Consider the following 20,252-nt stretch of genomic DNA (forward strand, 5'->3'; position numbering starts at 1 on the left):
TATATACTTTAGATTATAATCTAATATTATTTTATTTGTTTTTCTTAAATTGGCCATTGGTGCTTTTTCAGTTGGGTTCCTGTGTCCCTTTGACGTACTCCCACTATTGTGGGGTGTGATTTTAGCACGCTGCTACTTGCTGGCACTACTAGTACTTCCGAATCATCTTATATAGCCCCTCCCTGGTCCCTAAATTGGATAATGCTTTTTAACTCTCATCATAAAGATCAGTATTGAAAAGGACACACTGAGTGTCTATTGCATAAAGACCTTGTATTAGGAATACGACTTTTTAAAAAGCCTCCTTTTGGATAGATCTTTTGCTTTAGCTGAGAAAATTAGACAAATACATACAATAGCATAATCCCATTTATTAAACATAATATTAGCCTAAAAAGAAAAAAATCCACATAGCAGTGTGTACTCACCCTTCAAACCCCACCTGTGAGTATGGCCTGGATACTCATAGGAAGGGGTCAAATGTGCTGTGTAGGAGGGGATTCGGAGGCTGGACAAAATAGGAGGAATGTCATCTAGAAAGCTATCATTAGAAACATCTGGCTAAAGAGAAACAATGATGACATAATCAGAAGAGAACTTAGAACCAGCAAGTTTCCTCCAGCTGTGAGTTCAAATTCAACTGCCAGAAGTGTACATATCACTCCTGACAGACCCTCTGATGTTGTGACTCTTCAAGGACTTTTGAACTCAGCTAATAATTTTTCAAATAAAAATCCCAATATACATATATAACAAAAAAGATATGTAAAAATTTCTTACAGTTATATTTGAGTTTTTGTTGAGTTTGTGCTATATATAACATATTGTTATATATATATAATTTATATATAAAAAACTCAAATACTATAACTGTAAGAAATTTTTACATATCATTTTTTTTAGATAAATAAACTAAAACCCCAATATAAAGTCAGGAATGGTAGAGCTGGGAGAGAGGTCTGTGACCTCCTGGGAATCACTCGACAGTTAGTGTGAAACTAGATGCCAACTGTCTTGACCTTTGGATCAGAGCTTTTTTCATCACAGAGCTTTGCTTCATTGAATAATTTATTTACACATTCCACTCATCCATTTATTCTACAAAAAAAATTTAATAGCTCCTTCATGCCTGACACAGTGCTCAAGTTTGTAAGTACAAATTTTGAGAGTTTGCACTATTGTAAAGAATTGAATAACAAAATTAGATAAACTGCCACCAGGTGGCATAAATCCTCATACTGGCAAGGACGTTTGTAGGTAATTTGTAGTAACTATTCAGTTTTTCCTCTTAGACTTTTTTTTTCTTTTTCAAATTCAGATGGTGAGAACTGGTCTGAATGTACAATTCAGTCTTACTGTTTTCCATCAAGGTGTCACCAATCTTCCAGTCTCCCAGGCAGAAGTTTTTGAGGTATGTTTTGGTTTCATCTTCTACTTATTGAGTCACAGCTTATTCAGATTGGCTACTTTCCTCATCTTTAGCTCCTTTATAAAAACCTTCAATTTAGCAGTGTCAGGGAAAAAAAAAACTACCTTGGGTTGTTCTTAGCCTACTGCAAGTTCACTGCTGCCTCTGCTCCTGCTGTTCCATTTCCCTGAAATTCCTTCTTCTAAACTCTTTCATCATTGACTCACCAATGTTCAACAAATATTTGAGTGGTTGTTATGGTGATGCTGATATATGAAATGCCAAACTATATACTTTCCTCACATGCCAGCATCTGCTATGTCCCTCCCTGCCCTTCTGACAGTAGAGAAGTTCTAGTAGGTTAAATGCGTATACGATCAAATAATTGCTATATTAGGGGCATTTACCAGCCATCGTGGTGACCAAAGTATCAGCTTTGCAGAGGTGATCAAGAAATAAATTGGTCCTTGGTTTAGATATAGAGGTAAGTCAACTAGTTTAAATGGATACAGGGTCAAATATTGTCCTACACAGTGAGATAAAATGCATTGGCACTTCAAGTCTGACAATTTTAGACTCTGAAATTTTAGATGGGAAGAAGGTATGATGCATATAGGCAAGTGGCCAAAGTTGATTTTAAAAAGAAAGGCTGAAACCAGATTAAAAGGGCCCTTGAAGGACATGCAAAGAAGTTAGGACTTTATCTTTTAGGCATTAGAACCATTACAAGATACAGAAAGGGGATGATGTGAACAGATTTGCATTTTAGATCCTCTCTGGCTGGATGTGGCATGGATTGGAGAGAGGTGAGACCAGATATGTGCAACCAGCTGGGAAATAACCCTAGAGTCTGGGTGGGTGGGGATGTTAAGGCCTGAACCAAGTAAAATCTGTGCTGAAGGAGAGGCAGGGATGGATCTGAGACAGTCAACAGAATTTGGTGAGGAATCAAATATGGGAATAAGGAGAAAGTACTTTGTGACTGCCAGGTTCCTGGCTTAGGTCACTGAGTGAGGAGTGATGCCTTTAACTAGGCATAAAAGGATACAGGAGGCTGAGCAGCTTTTAGGGGGTGGTGGTGGTAGTGGTGGTGGTGGTGAATGTTTTGAGTTTACTTTGAGATGACTGTATGATTATTTGCACTAATCAATTTCATACATTAATATGTAGGTTAGAATGAAAGGTCTCAGTAAAGAAAACTTTCTTACTACCATTCATTCATCAATCGATTTGTCAGCCAAAAGTGCCTCCTTTATGTCTTATAAGGAGTTAGGTGCAATGGGTATTATGAACCTTACATCCCAAATTTTCCAAAGTGGTTTTATTTTTCTACAGTTTTTATTTTTGACAAATGCCATTCATTCAATATTTACTTAATATGACTAAATTTTTATGTCTTGTAAGACTTTTCTTACAAGTTAATAAATCACTAAAATGTTTACAGTATGAATTCTGCAAGTAAGGTATTTGTAGCCTAATCCAGAAGAACTCCATACTCACTAGAGAACCATTTAGTGGTAAACTGCAATGTTGTAAGGTTTCCGGGGCATCCAGAAAGTGGCTCTCATTTTGGGTAGGAGGAATTAGGAAGGGCTGCACCAAGAAGCTAGAACTGCAGCAAGGATCTGAAGATAGAACAATAGCTGCAAAGTCAGACAGTGGGTGAAGAAAGCAGCATCAGGAAAAACATCTGGTTCGAATGACTTTGGTGCGTTCAAGGGAGATTGAAGACCTTGGCCTCTCTTGATTAGCCTTTTGGCTCAGTCACAGAGGGTGACTAAATTCATCTGAGGGGGGTTGTATAATTCCTATTACTACTTTCTTTTTTTTTTTTTTTTTTGAGACGGAGTCTCGCTGTCGCCCAGGTTGGAGTGCAGTGGCGCGATCTCGGCTCACTGCAGGCTCCGCCCCTCGGGGTTCACGCCATTCTCCTGCCTCAGCCGCCCTAGTAGCTGGGACTACAGGCACCCGCCACCTTGCCCGGCTAATTTTTTGTATTTTTTTTTAGTAGAGACGGGGTTTCACCGTGTTAGCCAGGATGGTCTCGATCTCCTGACCTTGTGATCCGCCCGCCTCGGCCTCCCACTACTTTCTTATATGTATCTTCAATTTGGGATCAACTTTGTGATGATTTGTCTAAGGTATAATGAAAATTTTTACTTCTGTGGTTTCCAGATTCTGTTTTTTCATTCCCTTCCTGGCATTTTTCAATTTGCATCTCATTTTGATTTTCAGCTTTTCTGACCTTAGTCATAAAAGCTTTTGATAAATTTTAGTATTACATAATCACCCTTGTTTCTCCTTTTAGTAACATCCCCATTTGCCTGTGAGGTCCACATGTAGCCTTTTGAGGTAATACAATTGAAACTTTTATTACAATTAACTGTGAATAATAAGATAAAATATATCCTCAAGAGCTGTAAATGAAATAAACACTTGGTACTGAAAATCTATAATGTAATAAGGATATATAATAGTGCCTCCTGCACATTCGATAAATGTAGTAGACATTCAAGAAACATTTTCAATGGATGAATTTTACACAATAACCTAAAGAAGACTGCATCTTCTTTGTTAAAAAAGTTTGTTCTGCCAAAGCAAGAAATACAGCAGGAGGCTCAGGGCATAATCTGCCAGGCCCGGTGCTTCTGCAAATGATTTCCTCTGGTTTTGTCCTCAGTCAAGGCAAGCTCTGGCTTCCTGGTGCTCTGAGGTGAGATGAGGGTCAGGGACCTGGTGTGTCAACTCCCTTCTCTCCAAGCGGCCCTAGTTCAGGGATCTGTATGAAATGCATCAAAACATCAGTCCAAGTGGCTGACATCCACTTCAGCTATTTGTTTGCAAATAGGAGTTCTAAATGCTTTGAAAACAGTTTGTTCTTTAAAGTTGGTAAGCATTCCTTTTATAATTTGTCTACACTCTTTTTGAACAAGCTACTAATATTACTGATAAAATAAAATGAAAATTCAACTAGCCTTACTTTGATGGTTGGTCATAAGTTCAAAATAATCAAAGTCCAAATTAATGAGATTTTATTATCTATGTATACAAGTTTACCTATATAGGCTTACATGTATGTGAATTAAGAATCATAGCAATTTAGCACTGGAAGGAAACATAAAAAAGAATTCTTTCTAAACCCTACATTTTGCAAATGAAGAGATATGTAACTAGTAAATTGTTCTTTTTCTTGCACCCAAGAGACTAGTTCTATATTTAAACACAATCCATAAATAGCCTCCTTTACAGATATAATTTGCTGTGATTTCACGGCTCTGCTGAGCACATTACATGTTACGTAATGCTTTTACTTCTATTAGCTGTGTCTTAGCATCTCCTATAAATCTGCAGCCTCTTTGAAGGTAGAGATTATATTTATTTTTGCATTCCCCAGAGAACCTGCCCCAGCCCTATCCCCACAGCTGATTCTGGATTGAGCATCCAGCATCTGCAGGTGGCCATGAGCCTATGCGGAAATCAAGGAACCAGGCTCTGGGTTCCTGTGGGTCGCCTGTGGGCTAGGCAAATTTTCTTCTGCTTCAGAACATCTGATAGTTTCTCTGGATTGCCTTGTTTGTATTTGGAGTCCTGTTGTCTCTATTCTTCACCTGATAGTTATGAAGCTGTGCCCCTATGCTGAGGCCCACCCATCCCATTGTTTTCCCCATCCCAACCTCAACTGTCTTAAACTAGACTGGATTTGCCATTCCCTTATTTGGGCACAAATTAGAATTGCTGCCACTTCTCCACCCTCTCACCATTGTGCCCTTCACCTCCGCGTGCTGTGTGGTAAATAACCCAGGCAGCCTGCAGTGATCCCACTCTTAGAGCTAAAGCTATTGCTTGCTTTGCACTGTTACATAACATAAATGAGTGCTCAATGATTTGAAAGAATAAATTTGGACATTAATGATTCACTTAACAAATACTTATTGAATACCTAATATATACCATACCACCATCACCTTATTCTCTGTGCTGGGATATAGCAGAGAATAAAACCAAGTCCCCGCCCTCATGGGATTACATTCTAGTCAGGGAGGTACACAATAAGCAAATAAACAAATAGACATATAATATAAAGTCACTGCTAAAAAGTAAGTGCTGTCACAAAATGTAAGGGAAGGGAATAGAAAATGACAGGAGGGAGTGCTATTTTAGACAGGATAATCAGGAAAGGCCTGGACATACTGACATATTGGAATCATCTGAACATAGATGGTATTTAAAGGATAGAGTAAGTGAGATCATCTGAAGAATAACGTGGTTAGTGAAGAGATGTGTGAGGACTCAGCCTGGGGCACTCCAACAGTTAGAGGTAGGGAAGACAGGGAGGGTTCAGGAAGGAAGGAAGGTTGAGGAGGAACAGCCAGAGAGGGAGAAGGGCAAGCAGGATAGAGCAGTGCTTTGGAAGCTGAATTGAGAAAGTATTTCAAAAAGGAGGACAATTGGCTACAACCAAGATTGACATTTGGATTGGCAATGTGGAAGTTAATGGAGTTACCGCCATTATAGTAGTAGCTTCACTGAAATGTGGGGGGACTCTGATAGGAATCTTCAAGACAGAACAGGAGACGAAGAAATGGAGAGATGAATGTGCACTGTGTCTTTGAGGTCCACTGCTACAAAAGGAACAAGAAAAGAGGCAGTATCTACAAAGAGCTGTGAAACCAAAAGAGGCTTTCGTTGTTATTGTTGTTGTTCTTTTTTAAGATGGGAGAAATCACAGTATTTTTATGTGCAAAAACAAAGATGCAGGAAATAGGGAAAACTGGTGATACAAAACAGAGAGGGGTTATTGTACAGGCAAGACGCAGTGAGATTCAAAGATAGGACATTTCGAAAGAGGGCAAACTGATAGTCAATGGTAAATTAACCATTTTGGCAAGCATACATTTCATTTTTGGTCTATTTTGCTTTCTCATCAAGTTGTGGTTAATGACATGTATGAAATTTTTATAATAAGAAGAATATGATTGTGCAGAATTTTAGACAGTGGCCCTTCAGTGAAGTCATTGGTATTTTAATCAAAATGATTTGCAGGTTCTAATCCCAAAACAACTTGAAATTTCCAGCCCTTAGTGTATGGTAAATTATCCATCACATTACCGTAATTAGACCCATATAATTAAAACAATAGCAGCTTCTTTTATGTCTCTGTGGCACTTCTGCTAACGGGGCTTTAGTTCTCTCCAGTAAAGCCTCAGAGAAACCCAAATGGGAAAAGTATGACCCTATAAACAGAAAAGACAACCTTTACTATTTGGGTTTTTCTTTTTATAGTACCTCAATTCTGAGTTCCCAGGCATAAATATAGGTAGAAACTGACCTAAAGTCCAATCTACTTTTTAGAAAAATATGTATTCCACAAGATGCAAAATTTAGATAAAATAAATAAGAAACAAGATTTTCAGAACATCAGAGCTATAAAGAAAGATCACCCTCAGTGAGTATAAAACCTTAATTAAGACAGCTATGATAGATTCCTTTTAATGTAAAACCAGTGATTTTTACAGACATTAAAGATCACCTATTTCAACCACTTTATTTTATAGATGAATAAACTCAGTGCCCAAATGGTTAAATAACTAATACAAAGATGCTTAGGTGATTAGTGGCTATATTGGGTGGATTTTAAAATTAATTTTAAAAAACTGAAATAATAATATTTATTGAGTGTTTCCATATACCAGGCACTGTGCTGATCACATTACAGTCATACCCTCATTTAAAATTTACAGCAACTATATGAGGTGGATAATAGGAGATCTCTTCACCAGCTGCCACTGAATTGACTTACTAACTTCACCACTCGTCTCCACTTTCTTCTTCGTCAAACACACGGACTGATGCTGGTACTATGTTAAATGCTTGAGGCTGGTAAATTTATTTGAAAATTTCTTTTCACTTACCCAATCTGCAGTCTGTAGTCATAATCTACGTTGGCATCAGTATCACCTGGGTACTTGTTAAAAATGCAGATTCTCAAACCCCAACCAGACTTACTGGATCAAAAACTGGGGGTGGGGTTTAACAATTTATGTTCTCCATTCAAGAGATTCTGATGCATGCCAAAATAGAACACTACTTGAAAGGCTAATACAGGGGCCAAGCAGAAGCTCCTGGAGCTCCTTCCTCATGCTACCAAAAGAGTAAACCAAAAGCAATACTGCATCCTTGAAGCACCATAGAGATCATTGCCACCACTGAAAACTTAGAAGCTATGTACCTAGAAGCTATGTTTGTTTGGAGAAGTGATTCCTTTCATATTCAGATTTAACATACAAATTTGACTGGATTTTCATGAATGGCAATGGATTATTAAAACTCAACCAATGGTTACTTCAGTTAAGCTGCTGTTTCAGCTGTGGCCTTTTTTATTGAAACAAACTGACACCTCTCTTGGCATCTAACATGTAGTCATTAAATTAGCCCATTTTCCCACTATTCCAAAGAACAATCTTGTCTAAGGCTTATGTCAGCTCTTTGGCTCTGTGTCAAAATTAGGCCCACAAGGACCTTAACTGTCCTAACACCTCACAGAGCATCACATTAGTACACTACATCTGTGACATTTTACTGTTAAGATCTGCATAGCAGGGAGTAACAGATACCCTAGAAACCTTTAAGGCACATGCGTGGCAGTAGCTGGAGGAGAAAATCCATGAACATTTAGGTGCCTACCATGTCAGCGAAGTTTCTAGAGTCAGGTTGTTTTCATCATATTGGATTATTCTGTCCAGAGGCAAACACTGTGCGCCTTTGTGCCCCTACCACTGAGAAAGAGGCACAATGTTTAACAGGTGTCTTTGGATTTTTGAGGCAACATATACTACATTTGGTTGTTCTGCTCTGACTCATTTAGTCACTGACCAAAAATATTTCCAGCCTTGAATGGAGTCCAGAGCAAAAAGAAATCCATGGTTGTACAGACTTTAGTTATAAGAGGCTCTGGCTCTGCAATTTCAGCTTTTCTAAACCAGTGGATCATAGGTTCTTTTTTTTTTTTTTTTTTTTTTGAGACAAGAGTCTTACTCTGTTGCCCAGGCTGGAGTGCAGTCGCGCGATCTCGGCTCACTGCAAGCTCCGCCTCCCAGGTTCACGCCATTCTCCTGCCTCGGCCTCCTGAGTAACCACCACGCCCGGCTAACATTTTGTATTTTTAGCAGAGACGGGGTTTCGCCGTGTTAGCCAGGAAGGTCTCGATCTCCTGACCTCATGATCCGCCCGCCTCGGCCTCCCAAAGTGCTGGGATTACAGGCGTGAGCCACCGCACCCAGCTGGATCATAGGTTCTTTAAGTGTCTGTGGCAGATAAGGAATCTAAATGGAGCCTGCTCCTGCACCAAGTTCAACTAAGAGAATCACGGTGTGAGCCCGTAGGATCTTGGAGCAAGTCTATGACCTCTTTATCAAGTCACTGTTTTCCTTCTGAAAACAGTTTGTGGCTTGCTGCCAGGTCCTGATAGGAGTGAATACCTGACCATAGGTCTACAAATGACCTAAGCTTTCCAATATCAATTGATTGTTTGGATCTAGCTGATCATAAAGTTAAATGTGTCTAGAGATTCTCCATCAGCAAATAAAAATGCTGTATATGACATTGGGCCTGAGCAAAACCCAAAGGCAGTGTTAAGACGTTAATAGGACTTGTTTCCACTCCCATGAATAGAAGGCTGCTCATCACCATTTCTCCCTCAATTTGTACATATGGCCCCATGGGAGTTCCCTATATCATACTGCCTGCAGAGAAAAAAATTTGGTTCTGCCCAAAATGGCACCAGACATTCATAGGTGACATGAGAGGCAGTGGAGAAGGAAAATATTTCCACTAGATTAAACTTCAAATGAACTTGAACTTCTCATGGTGAACTTCACCTAGAAAAAAATACTTTGCTTGAGGAAGTTGCTCTCAGATTATCAATTTTAACCACTATACCATTGGAATCATAAGACATAAATAATAACACATTTATATTAGTAGGTAATCTACTAAGTTCAATGGAAAAATTGACCCAGCTTGAAAGTATAGTCCACTCTGAGAACTTATAGCATAGCAAATGGTGTACATTCTTTAATCAAACACCATCTGTTTTAATAAGCTACACCACAATTATGTTGTCTAGCAAACCACCCAAAACTGTGGTGTAGAGTAATGAGTATTTCTGGCTGACACATCTAAAAGTCAATTGAGGTTTGGCTGACCCAGCTTGGCTTTGGGAGGGCTTGGCACCAAATGTCTCTCATCCTCCTTGGACTACTTGCTGCACAAGACATGCTCTTCTCGTGGTGAAAGGCAGGAGTTCAAGAGAGCAAGCCCGGTTATGCAAGCTCAGTTCAAGCCTCTGCTCAGGTCATGGTCACTAGCATCCTATTAGCCAAAGCAAGGCATATGGGCAAGACTAAATTCCAGGGGTTAGGGAATATACTTTTCTCATCAAAGAGGAGGATAAAGGTGAATATTTGCAGAACAATTCTAATCTACCATACTACCTGAATTTAAAAATGGAATTTTTGTTTTTACAAAAATATTATTCAGTATGTTGTCAAAGGGCTGCACTAGTACAAATAGTTGATTCAACACAATTTCACAAATATTCATTGAATGTTTTTTATTTGTTGGGCACTATGTTAATTATCCAAAATTTAGGAATGGATAAGACATAGTCTCTGCCTTCAAGAATCTCACAGAAGGAACTGTAAACAAAATTTGATGTGATGAATGCAACAAAAGCCTTTACAATTCTCTGAGGTTGGTGTTGTGGCCATTTTACACAGAAGAAACTGATACTCAGAAAGATTAAATGATTTGTCCAATATTATACAACAGATAAAACTGAAATTCAAATTTCAGTTCAAATTTGGGAGTGGGAACTAAAACCTTAAACTCTTCCTATCATTCCACATAACCTTCCCCTGAAAGTGAGCACAGAGGTGATCCAGTCTAATACCTCACTTGATACTGGGCTCTTGGTATCTGTAAGGTGACATAATGCCAACATCTTGGTCAATTGACCCCAGGATAACAGATTTAGAATGAATTACATATGCTTTCCCCTGCTCCATAATTCTACTCTTCTTACTTTGGTTAGATTTACTTAGAGTGCCCATCAAACTAATCTTGATAATAATATTAAGCAGTAAGTCAGATTTGCATACCTCTTTTGGGCTAAGAGAGATCTTAGATGCTGGAGGATGCTTTAGTCAGGCTGCATATTTTTAAAATATGTGAGTCACAGGCAATAACTCTTTAGTGGATAGAACTTTTGTTAATATAAACGATTCTGATGACAAAGGTATAAACTGAACAGACCATTTTGTCCTTCATTTCTGAGAAGTAAAATGTCTGTGGTCAGTAATCAGGTATCCTGAGGGCTAGTGTGTAAGTATAATTATGACTTTCAGCTCTATTAGCCACTGTGAAGCTATTACTGTAATGTTTTATTTTAATATTTTCTTAATGTGTATCATAACAGTTTCAATATAAAATGGCTCTTCATATTTGTGCAGAAGAATTTTCATGAGTTTGAAGAATATTCGCCATAACCCTATTGAGGCAAATTATAGGTACCATATTATTGTTTCCATGTTAAGAAAGAGAAACTGGAGAGAGAAAGAAAATATGCGCTTAACTTTGGTAAAGTACCAAGTCACTGGAAAAGTCAAAGATAGGACTGGAGTCTAGTTATTACTAGCCTGGATAGTAGACTTTTGATTCTTGAAACAAAACTTTTAGGGAAGTATTAAGGGCACAAAAATAAACTCAACCTCTAAGGCTTAATTTTGTGTGGCTTGTCAGAAAAAGATTGAATCATCACATTTAATGCTGGGGCAAGAAACCAGGATAATTATGAATATTAGAAAGGGCTCAGAAGCTTGTTGAATCACAATATTTCTGTGCCATCATTTTATACTGAAGGATATTTATGTTCCGTTTATTTTTTGCAGTGAGTTTCACGTTGGTTGTTTGGGGTTGATTTCAGTACGCTCCAGTTATGGTTAGGGCAATACTAAATGACAGTGTTTTGTTACTTGAGTTCTCCCTCTTCTTTCACAACTCCCAAGCTTGTCAGTACTTGAAGGATTGCTTCCATGGACGCTCAGTATTGAAAGTGTGTCTCAGTATTGAGAGTTTCTTTCTCAAATAATCCCAGTCAAAGCTGCATACCTTGCTTCCCTTTCCTGAGGCCTGAGCACTGGAACGGGGCTGGACTGGGCCCATTCTTCAGGTAGCTTGCAATATTAAATGTGTTAGAAAATACTTTCAATAGACCTCCACAGAATCAGGAAAATAATGACAAGAAAAATACATACATCATTCCTAATTTTAGGTCTAGATACTCAGAGAATAACTGCCTTATTTAAAGTGGGCAAATACCCTTAGAGAGCTTTAGGGGCTGTTTCCACCTGTGTGCTTCTGAGGCAGAAACAGATTCTCAGATGTTTATCTTCTGAAAGGAAATTTGTTTACACAAAAGGGAGGTGAGGAGATGGCATGATATTTTAGAATGACTTGTCTATGAACCTATATGAGCAGACCACGGGCATAAGAAACTAGATCTATTGGAAATTAATATACTTTCTTTTTAATTTTTTTGTCTTATTTCTAAAGAGACAAATGGATGGAAAAACTTTTTGGCCCTCTTCCTTAGGATCAGAAGGTAAGCATCTTCTCATCATGGGATGGATTATTTGGAAACAAGTCCATTAAAGAGAGCAATTTGAGATGGGAATACTCAACCTATTTTCATGCCAATAATGGATCCTTCCTCATTGCTGTGTTTAAAAATTTCCTCAGCCTGCTTGGAAGGGCTGGAATTTATCAATTTAAGCATTTCCGTGACATCAGTTTTGTATTTCTCCATCTGAATTTCACAAATGCTTTTAGCTAGAAGGTATTTTTTCAGAATATTTAAAAAAGGTCAGAATAGCAAAAGTTTACAAGATCATTTTCTGTTTTTTTTTTCCTTTTGGTAAAATGAAACTGCTTCAATAGTCAATTGCCAAATGATCTATTCTAATTAAATAATTGTTTTCTTAATTATTTCCATGGCTTGCAGGGTTATGGTTTTTTAAAAAATTAAGTCCTATAGAAAACTCATGTAACTTGCACTGAAATTTTTTGCAAATCATTCCTTTCTCCTTTAAAAATCCTTTCATGTTTCTCTCCTGTAGAGATTGAATTACTTGTGTATCCTTTTTGTTTTAAGGCAGACTGTTCAATTTCTTTCAGTTTGTTGATTCAGTCATCACTTCTATTATAAGTATAATTCAACTAAACTTATTATTACGGGTTTTTTTTTTTATTCTTTCCTCTCTTTATTTTGGGAAATTGAATCAATATGCTAATGAATTTCTTTTCTGTGAGGGAGCCTTATTGTTCCTGTAATGAAGGTTCCTATTTATTTGGACATCTCTAGATACAATTTAATTGTTTTTTTGGTGGTTGAACTTTTTTCCTTTGGATAAACACCTATTCTGTGCCTTTCCCTTTCTGTACTTTTCTTTTTTCATGGTTCAGATGGTATTGTTCAACTATCTTAAGGAGAATTCAAACATTGCTCAGGTGAGATTCAGGTTTTTTGGTCCCATAATAGGGAAAGCAAAAATGATTATTAGATGAAGTGCATGCAAATGAAAACCAGAAGTTGAGATGGATGGAGCTGATTTTATTTCTAAGCGACTTCAGAATGCCAGTATCAGGGCTAGAACCCAAATGTATTCCCTCTGATTTCAGATCCTAGATTTGTTTATTGGCTGTGTTGTCTCACTGGTCCATTGGCCAGGTTTGTTTTCTTCTGAGGGAGAACAGTAGCTGGAAACAAATAGAAACTAGTTTACATCTTCCAGGAAAGATTTTGCCCTGCTAACTTTAGCTCCTTCCGCAAAGTTGTTAAAAGTCTATTGGCATGCTGAAGAAAAGGCATTCAAGTTCTTCGTCATTAATGAATTAATTAATCAACACACATTACTATCCACTATGCCCTGTGGGTATACAAAGATAAATACAAATAACACCCTCTGTTTATTAAGCAAACCCATTTCTAGGAACTTTTTTCGTATCTTCTTTCTAATTTTCACAACCATCTTTCAAGGGAAGTATTGTTATCCCCATCCCCATTTTACAATGAGTAAACTGGTATTGAGAGAGTTGAAGTGACTTGCTCAAAGTCACACAACTAGTAAATAGCTGAATTGAGATTTTTAACTCAGGTCTGATTCCAAACTCACTTTCATAGATCCTGCTCTTTTACTTTTCCATTAATGAATAGAACTTGATCTCTGCCCTTAGAAGATTACATGTACACAAAAAAATCACATATTGGATGATTCCATTTATATGAAATGCCCAGAATATGCAAATCTATAAAGACAGAAAGTAGTGTAAGAGTTGCCTAGGGCTGGGAGTAGGGGAGTAAGGAGTGACTGCTAATGCATATAGGATTTCCTTTTGAGGTAGAAAAAATGTTCTAAAATTGTTTGTAATGATGGTTTCACAGTTTTGTGAATATACTAAAAATCATTCAATTGTGTAGTTTAAATGACTGAATTCTATGGGATTATAGCAGAATAAAGCTGTGCATGTATTTTTTCCCCCCAAGGTTAACAGTATAATGAGGAAGATAGATCTATGACCAGCTAACATTTCCAGGCAACATATAAACAAATATGAGCAATGCACTCTGGAAACTCAGGGGAAGGTGTAGTTGTTAATTGAGACCAGGAAACTGGGAGGTGGCTTTATGGAGCAGATGGCTTTGGAGCTGAATCTAAGAGCAAAATTAGAATGTTGGTAGGCAGAGAAGAGTGGAGGCTGAGAAGTCAGCATGGGCACAGTCACAGGTCCATGAGAGGACTGGGTTTTTCTGTAAGAATGGCAAGTCATCCAGCTGGAAGGCGATGAAAGGTGAGTGAGGAACGCAGAGGGAAATGAGGTTGGAAAGCATCTGACTGGAGTGTCTTGAGTGCCATGCTAAGGAGCTAAACTTCATTCTATATAATATGGGGGATCTTTTTCACAGGTGGGAGATACTGTTTTTTTACATTTTTATTTATTTATTTATTTTTAATTGAGACAGGGTCTTGCTTTGTCACCCAGGCTGGAGTGCAGTGGTGTGATCATAGCTCACTGTAGCCTTGAACTTCTGGGCTCAAAGGATTCTCCCATTTCAGCCTCCCAACTACCTGGGACTACAGGGACATGCCACCCAGCCCAGCTAATTTTTTTGTTTTTTGTAGAGACCGGATCTCACTTTGTTGCCCAGGCTGGTCTCAAACTCCTAAGCACAAGTGATCCTCCCACCTCAGCCTCTCAAATTGCAGGAATACAGGCCTGAGCCACTGCCACTGGCTGAGAAAGAGTACATTTTAAAACCAGATCCGAGTTTCTGTTTTTCTACATCAGAGATCAGAGATCTATTTTCAGCAAACCAACACCACCCATTAAATGAATGTTGCAAATTTGAGTTTTCCTAATTTTGTTTTAGTGTGTTTATAGTATGTATTTGTAAATTTCTTTGGGTTTCATAATTGTGTGTTTAAAAGGTAAGGAGTTTTATATATAGCTTATGCTTTTACCAAAGTAAAATAGTATGAATACAGATTTTTTTAAAAAAACTTCTCTTTAAAGTGAGTTCAAAATTTGCTTAAATGGGAAATATTTGTCTAGGAGATAGGATATTAATCAAAGTCTCTTCCAAACTTGACCTGGTGAGCCCCAGTCTACAGTAGGGGCACTCTAGGTATCTTATTCTGCAGATCTGAGAATCTGCACCAAAAAATCTCAGCACTAATGCACATTACAGTAGAGGTTTTATATAACAATTAAATAAGGATTTTATAGTTTGTTAATATAGACATAGAAGTAGGAAAATAGGACCTATTAAGAAATGAAAGTTTAAATAGTTGAACCTTGTGAAGCAATCACTGGGCATGATCTTCATGTTCATGTAGGATAGAATCTTTGCTGTGGGTTTCATTTGATAAATTAAAACGTTTTTTACGTTACATAATGTTGCTCTGGTTACTGCTATAGGTAGTATAGGGAATAATGGCCACAACAACCAGCAGCTTTTCTTCCATGTGCACTCACTTGATTTAACTTTTTTTTTTTTTTAGACGGAGTCTTGCTTTGTCGCCCAGGCTGGAGTGCAGTGGCGTGATCTTGGCGCACTGCCACCTCCGTCTCTCGGGTTCAAGCGATTTTCCTGTTTCGGTATCCTGAGTAGCTGGGACTACAGGCGCATGCCACCATACTCGGCTAGTTTTTGTGTTTTTAGTAGAGACGGGGTTTCATCATATTGGTCAGGCTGGTCTGGAACTCCTGACCTCAGGTGATCCACCAGCCTCAGCCTCCCAAAGTGCTGGGATTATAGGCGTGAGCCACCACACCCAGCTGATTTAAGATTTTAACAGACTTATTTGACAGAAACAAATTGGAGCTGTTGGCTGACCGTTTAACCCTCTGCTCTCCCCGCTGCAAAAAATCCACAAGAGCTTCATTATATTTTAGCTAACAGGTATTGGGCAGTAGTACTTCTTTTTTTTTTTTTTCATTCCTTTGTTTCAAAGAGATAACAGTTGACATACCCTTGAATACAAGCTCAGAGTTCATTTTCTGGTGAAAAAGGAATTTTGAAAGAGAAAATTTAAAAAACTCATACAAGTTGGTTTTTTTTTTCCATTTCCTTCTATATTTTAACTCTACAAACTGTAGTATCACAACAAGGGTGCAAAAAGCAGAGTTGGCATATTTGGTCAAATAAGACTTCATTTGAATTTTTAATATCTAGAAAATGATATTTTTTAAATTTCTTAAAATTTAAATTAAAATAGTTTTTAAAATTCAAGTGTTATATGTCCCCTATTATTAACATTTAAATTAAAAGATTATTACAAATTCAATAAAGAAGGAGGCAAAAAAAAGTGAGGGAGAGACATTTTATAATTACTTCAGTTTTTTTAAAAAATCAAGTTTGTACTCGTTCCAATTGTTTTGATATATTTGACTTTCTTTTTGTTATTCTTCACCTCCCTCATTATCTTTCCCCCTTTCTCTCCTTTATTTCTCTTCTCTATTTACCATTTTCTTTTTTATTGCCTACTCTCCACTCCCTTTTCTCCCTTCTTCTCTAACTGGACCATACTTGGGACTAAAGAAAAATTTATAGAATTATGTTTATTGAGGATGATTTAATGTAATTTATTATTCATTTAAATTGTGAGCAATTAAACTTTTAATATTTTTTTCTTTTTATGAGGATGATGGAGCTGAGTATGAGGGGTGGTAGATTCAGGTGTGAATAGTATATGCATACACTTACTCTAATCTGCTTTATCTAAGAAAATAAAGTTTGAAGTTATTAATACTGTACCTGTACCTGCATCTTTTCTTTTTTTTTTTTTTTTTTTTGTCGCCTCCTTCCCTATTTTGGTCCTGGCATGTGGTGCTGATCTGTAGTTGAGATTATATGAACCTAGTATAAATTCTACTTGAATATTTATACTGATCAATGTCTCTAACTCCAATTTTAAAAGCAAAATTAGCATGCATGATTTGGCCTAAATTCTCCTGCCATTGGTGAAATAATCAGGAATTGAGAGAAATGTGTGTGAGCACTCCTTCCTAAGATTTCAGCAATACTGTTGAGAAGCAGAAGCTCTTCAATCTCCTAGAATGATAAGAACCTTCTCTCTTAGTCCCTTTTGCATTGCTATAAAGGAGTACCTCAGGTTGGGTAATATATAAAGAAAAGAGATTTATTCGGCTCACAGTTCTGCAGGCTGTATAAGAAGGTTGCCACCAGCATCTGCTTCTGGCAAGGAACCTCAGGAAGCTTCCACTTAAGGCAGAAAGTGAAGGGGAGCAGGTATCACATGGCGAGAGGAGGGAAGCAAGAGAAAAGAAGAGGTGCTAGGCTCTTTTTAACAATCAGTTCTCGCATGAACTAATAGAGCGAGAACTCACTCATTACCAAGAGGATGGCAGCAAGTCATTCATAAGGGATCTGCCCCGAGGACCCAAATGCCTCCTACCAGGCACCACCTCCACCACTGGGGATCAAACTTTGACATGAGATTTGGAGGGAACAAATATTCAGGGTATATCACCTTACTTTTCCTTCCAGTACTCACAGTTTGACTCTTCCTCTCTTTTTGATCATTTGAAACATCAAATTGTTTTACCAACACATTCATGTTAATACTCTTGCCCATAAAGGAAGTGGAATTATTATTTCTGCTTGTTGAGACTAAAGAACAGGTAGTGAAACTATTCTTGTGGTCACTGAGCAAATCAAGCCAGGAATGGCCCTAAGCTGCACTCTAGAACTTTTGACCACTAGCTGTTCAAAGGAGGAAAAAGGAGTATATGTGATTCGTCTTCTAGTGAATTCTCTGAGTGAAACATTCTAATGCTTTTGCCCATGCTAGTCACATACTTATAAGTATGAGGCTATAACTGAGACTTTTCCAGGGGCATTTATTCTGGAAGAGGGAGCTAGATTTTGTTATAAAAATATAACAAAGGCCGGGTGCAGTGGCTCACACCTGTAATCACAACACTTTGGGAGGCCGAGGAAGGCGGATCACCTGAGGTCAGGAGTTTGAGACCAGCCTGACCAACATGGAGAAACCCTGTCTCTACCAAAAATACAAAATTAGCTGGGCATGGTGGTGCGTGCCTGTAGTCCCAGCTCCTCGGGAGGCTGAGTCAGGAGAGTCACTTGAACCCAGTAGGTAGAGGTTGCAGTGAGCCGAGATCGTGCCACTGCACTCCAGGCTGGGCAACAAGAGCAAGATGCCATCTCAAAAAATATATATATATGTATATATATAATGAAAAGCATTATAGATAGAGAACTGATTCAAAATAATCATTTTACTAATGGGTGAGTTAAAGTGATTAAAGACATTGTGAGATTGTGTATAGGTTTGGAGGAATGTTCTTGAAATCTGTGAAGCTAGAAATTTTTTGTTAAGAAATTTATTTTAGAAAAGCTTATTTATGACAGTGGAAAAGTCAGAGTTCAGATAATCAGACAGCATTATTGATAGCTTTGCTTTATAAAAGTGAATGGAAGAAAGGATGTCAAGACAGTCATAGACTATCTATAGACTTCTATATGTCAAGATAGAAGAAAGAATGTCAAGGTAGCAGTCTCTCATTGAGCCATCCTCCACTTTCTGCTACAACATTGATAGAACAGAATTGATTTTTAAAAAATACCAGCCACTAATAAGACAGTTTGCTAATGACATCTTGTGAGAAATTCCTCTGAAACAAGATCAGGCCAGGCGCGGTGGCTCATGCCTGTAATCCCAGCACTTTGGGAGGCTGAGACGAGTGGATCACTTGATGTCAGGAGTTTGAGATCAGCCTGGCCAACATGGTGAAACCCCATCTCTACTAAAATACAAAAATGAGCCCAGTGTAGTGGCGTGCACTTGGAGTCCCAGCTACTTGGGAGGCTGAGGCAGGAGAATCGCTTGAACCTGGGAGGTGGAGGTTGCAGTGAGCCGAGATCACACCACTGCACTCCAGCATGGGTGACAAAGTGAGACTCCATCTCAAACAAAACAAAACAAAAACAAAAAACCAATATCTATGGCATCGAATATAGAACTCTAATTGGTAATTGACACAACTGTGCCACATAAAATATGGTGTATTAGTCAGGGTTTCCTAGAGAGACAGAACTAATAGGATAGAGCTGGGTGTAATGGCTTATGCCTGTAATCCCAACACTTTGGGAGGCCAAGGCAGGTGGATGACCTGAGGTCAGGAGTTTGAGACCAGCCAGGCCAACATGGTGAAACCCTGTCTCTAATAAATGTACAAAAATTAGCTGAGTGTGGTGGTGCACACCTGTAATCCCAGCTACCTGGGAGGCTGAGGCAGGAGAATAGCTTGAATTCAGGAGGCGGAGGTTGCCATGAGCCAAGATAGTGCCACTGCACTCCAGCCTGGGCAACTGAGAGAGACTCTGTCCCCCCCCCAAAAAAAAAACAAAAAACAAACAAACAAAAAAAACAACTAATAGACTAATAGGATATATATATATATATATATATATATATATATATAGTAGTTTATTAAGCATGAATGCACATGATCACAAGATCTCACAATAGGCTGTCTGCAAACTTGAGGAACAAGGAGAGCCAGTCCAAGTCTCAAAACTGAAGAACTTGGAATCTGATGTTTGGGGGCAGGAAGCATTCAGCACGGAAGAAAGATGTAGGCTGGGAGGCTAGGCCAGTCTTACCTTTCCATGTTTTTCTTCCTACTTTATATTCGCTGGCAGCTGATTAGATTGTGCCCACCAGATTAAGGGTGGGTCTGTCTTCCCCAGCCTGCTGATCTCCTTTGGCAACACCCTCACAGACACACCCAGGACCAATACTTTGCATCCTTCAATCTAATCAAGTTGGCCCTCAGTATTAACCATCACAAATGGTTAATTGTAAAATGGTTAATTATAAAAGAAAGTAAAAATTTATTTATCTCCCAAGATCAGACTCAAAGATTCAGGGCCTATGACTAGAAAATTAAACTAGACTAGATTCAGGGCCTATGACTAGAAAATTAAAATGCTCTGATTTTCTGGTTCAACCAGAATATCCCCACACCAACTATCTTACTTAAGTAAACTGGGTGGTTTTTTGGGGATTAAAATCCTGTGGAATCTAATTTTTTAGGAAGAGTGTGTCAGTTCTCAGGACAATACTAATTATGAGTTTCTGATCCTCATCCTACTGACCCTCCTTCAAAAGGCCTTGGTTACATTTTTTTTCCTCTTCCTACCTTCTATAAACTGACTTACTCTCGTGTATGCTCAGCCTAA

General features: G+C 38.2%; 1 annotated feature.

The window, feature by feature from the left end:
* Window positions 17,321-17,430: an enhancer, noted in NCBI's record as "active region_7670". NCBI's record gives its function as "activates an Ori minimal core promoter by ATAC-STARR-seq in GM12878 lymphoblastoid cells {active_cell/tissue: GM12878}" and the evidence as "EXISTENCE:reporter gene assay evidence [ECO:0000049][PMID:35858748]".

The sequence above is a fragment of the Homo sapiens genome, chromosome 13, assembly GCF_000001405.40.
Source record: "Homo sapiens chromosome 13, GRCh38.p14 Primary Assembly".
Classification (NCBI taxonomy): domain Eukaryota; kingdom Metazoa; phylum Chordata; class Mammalia; order Primates; family Hominidae; genus Homo; species Homo sapiens.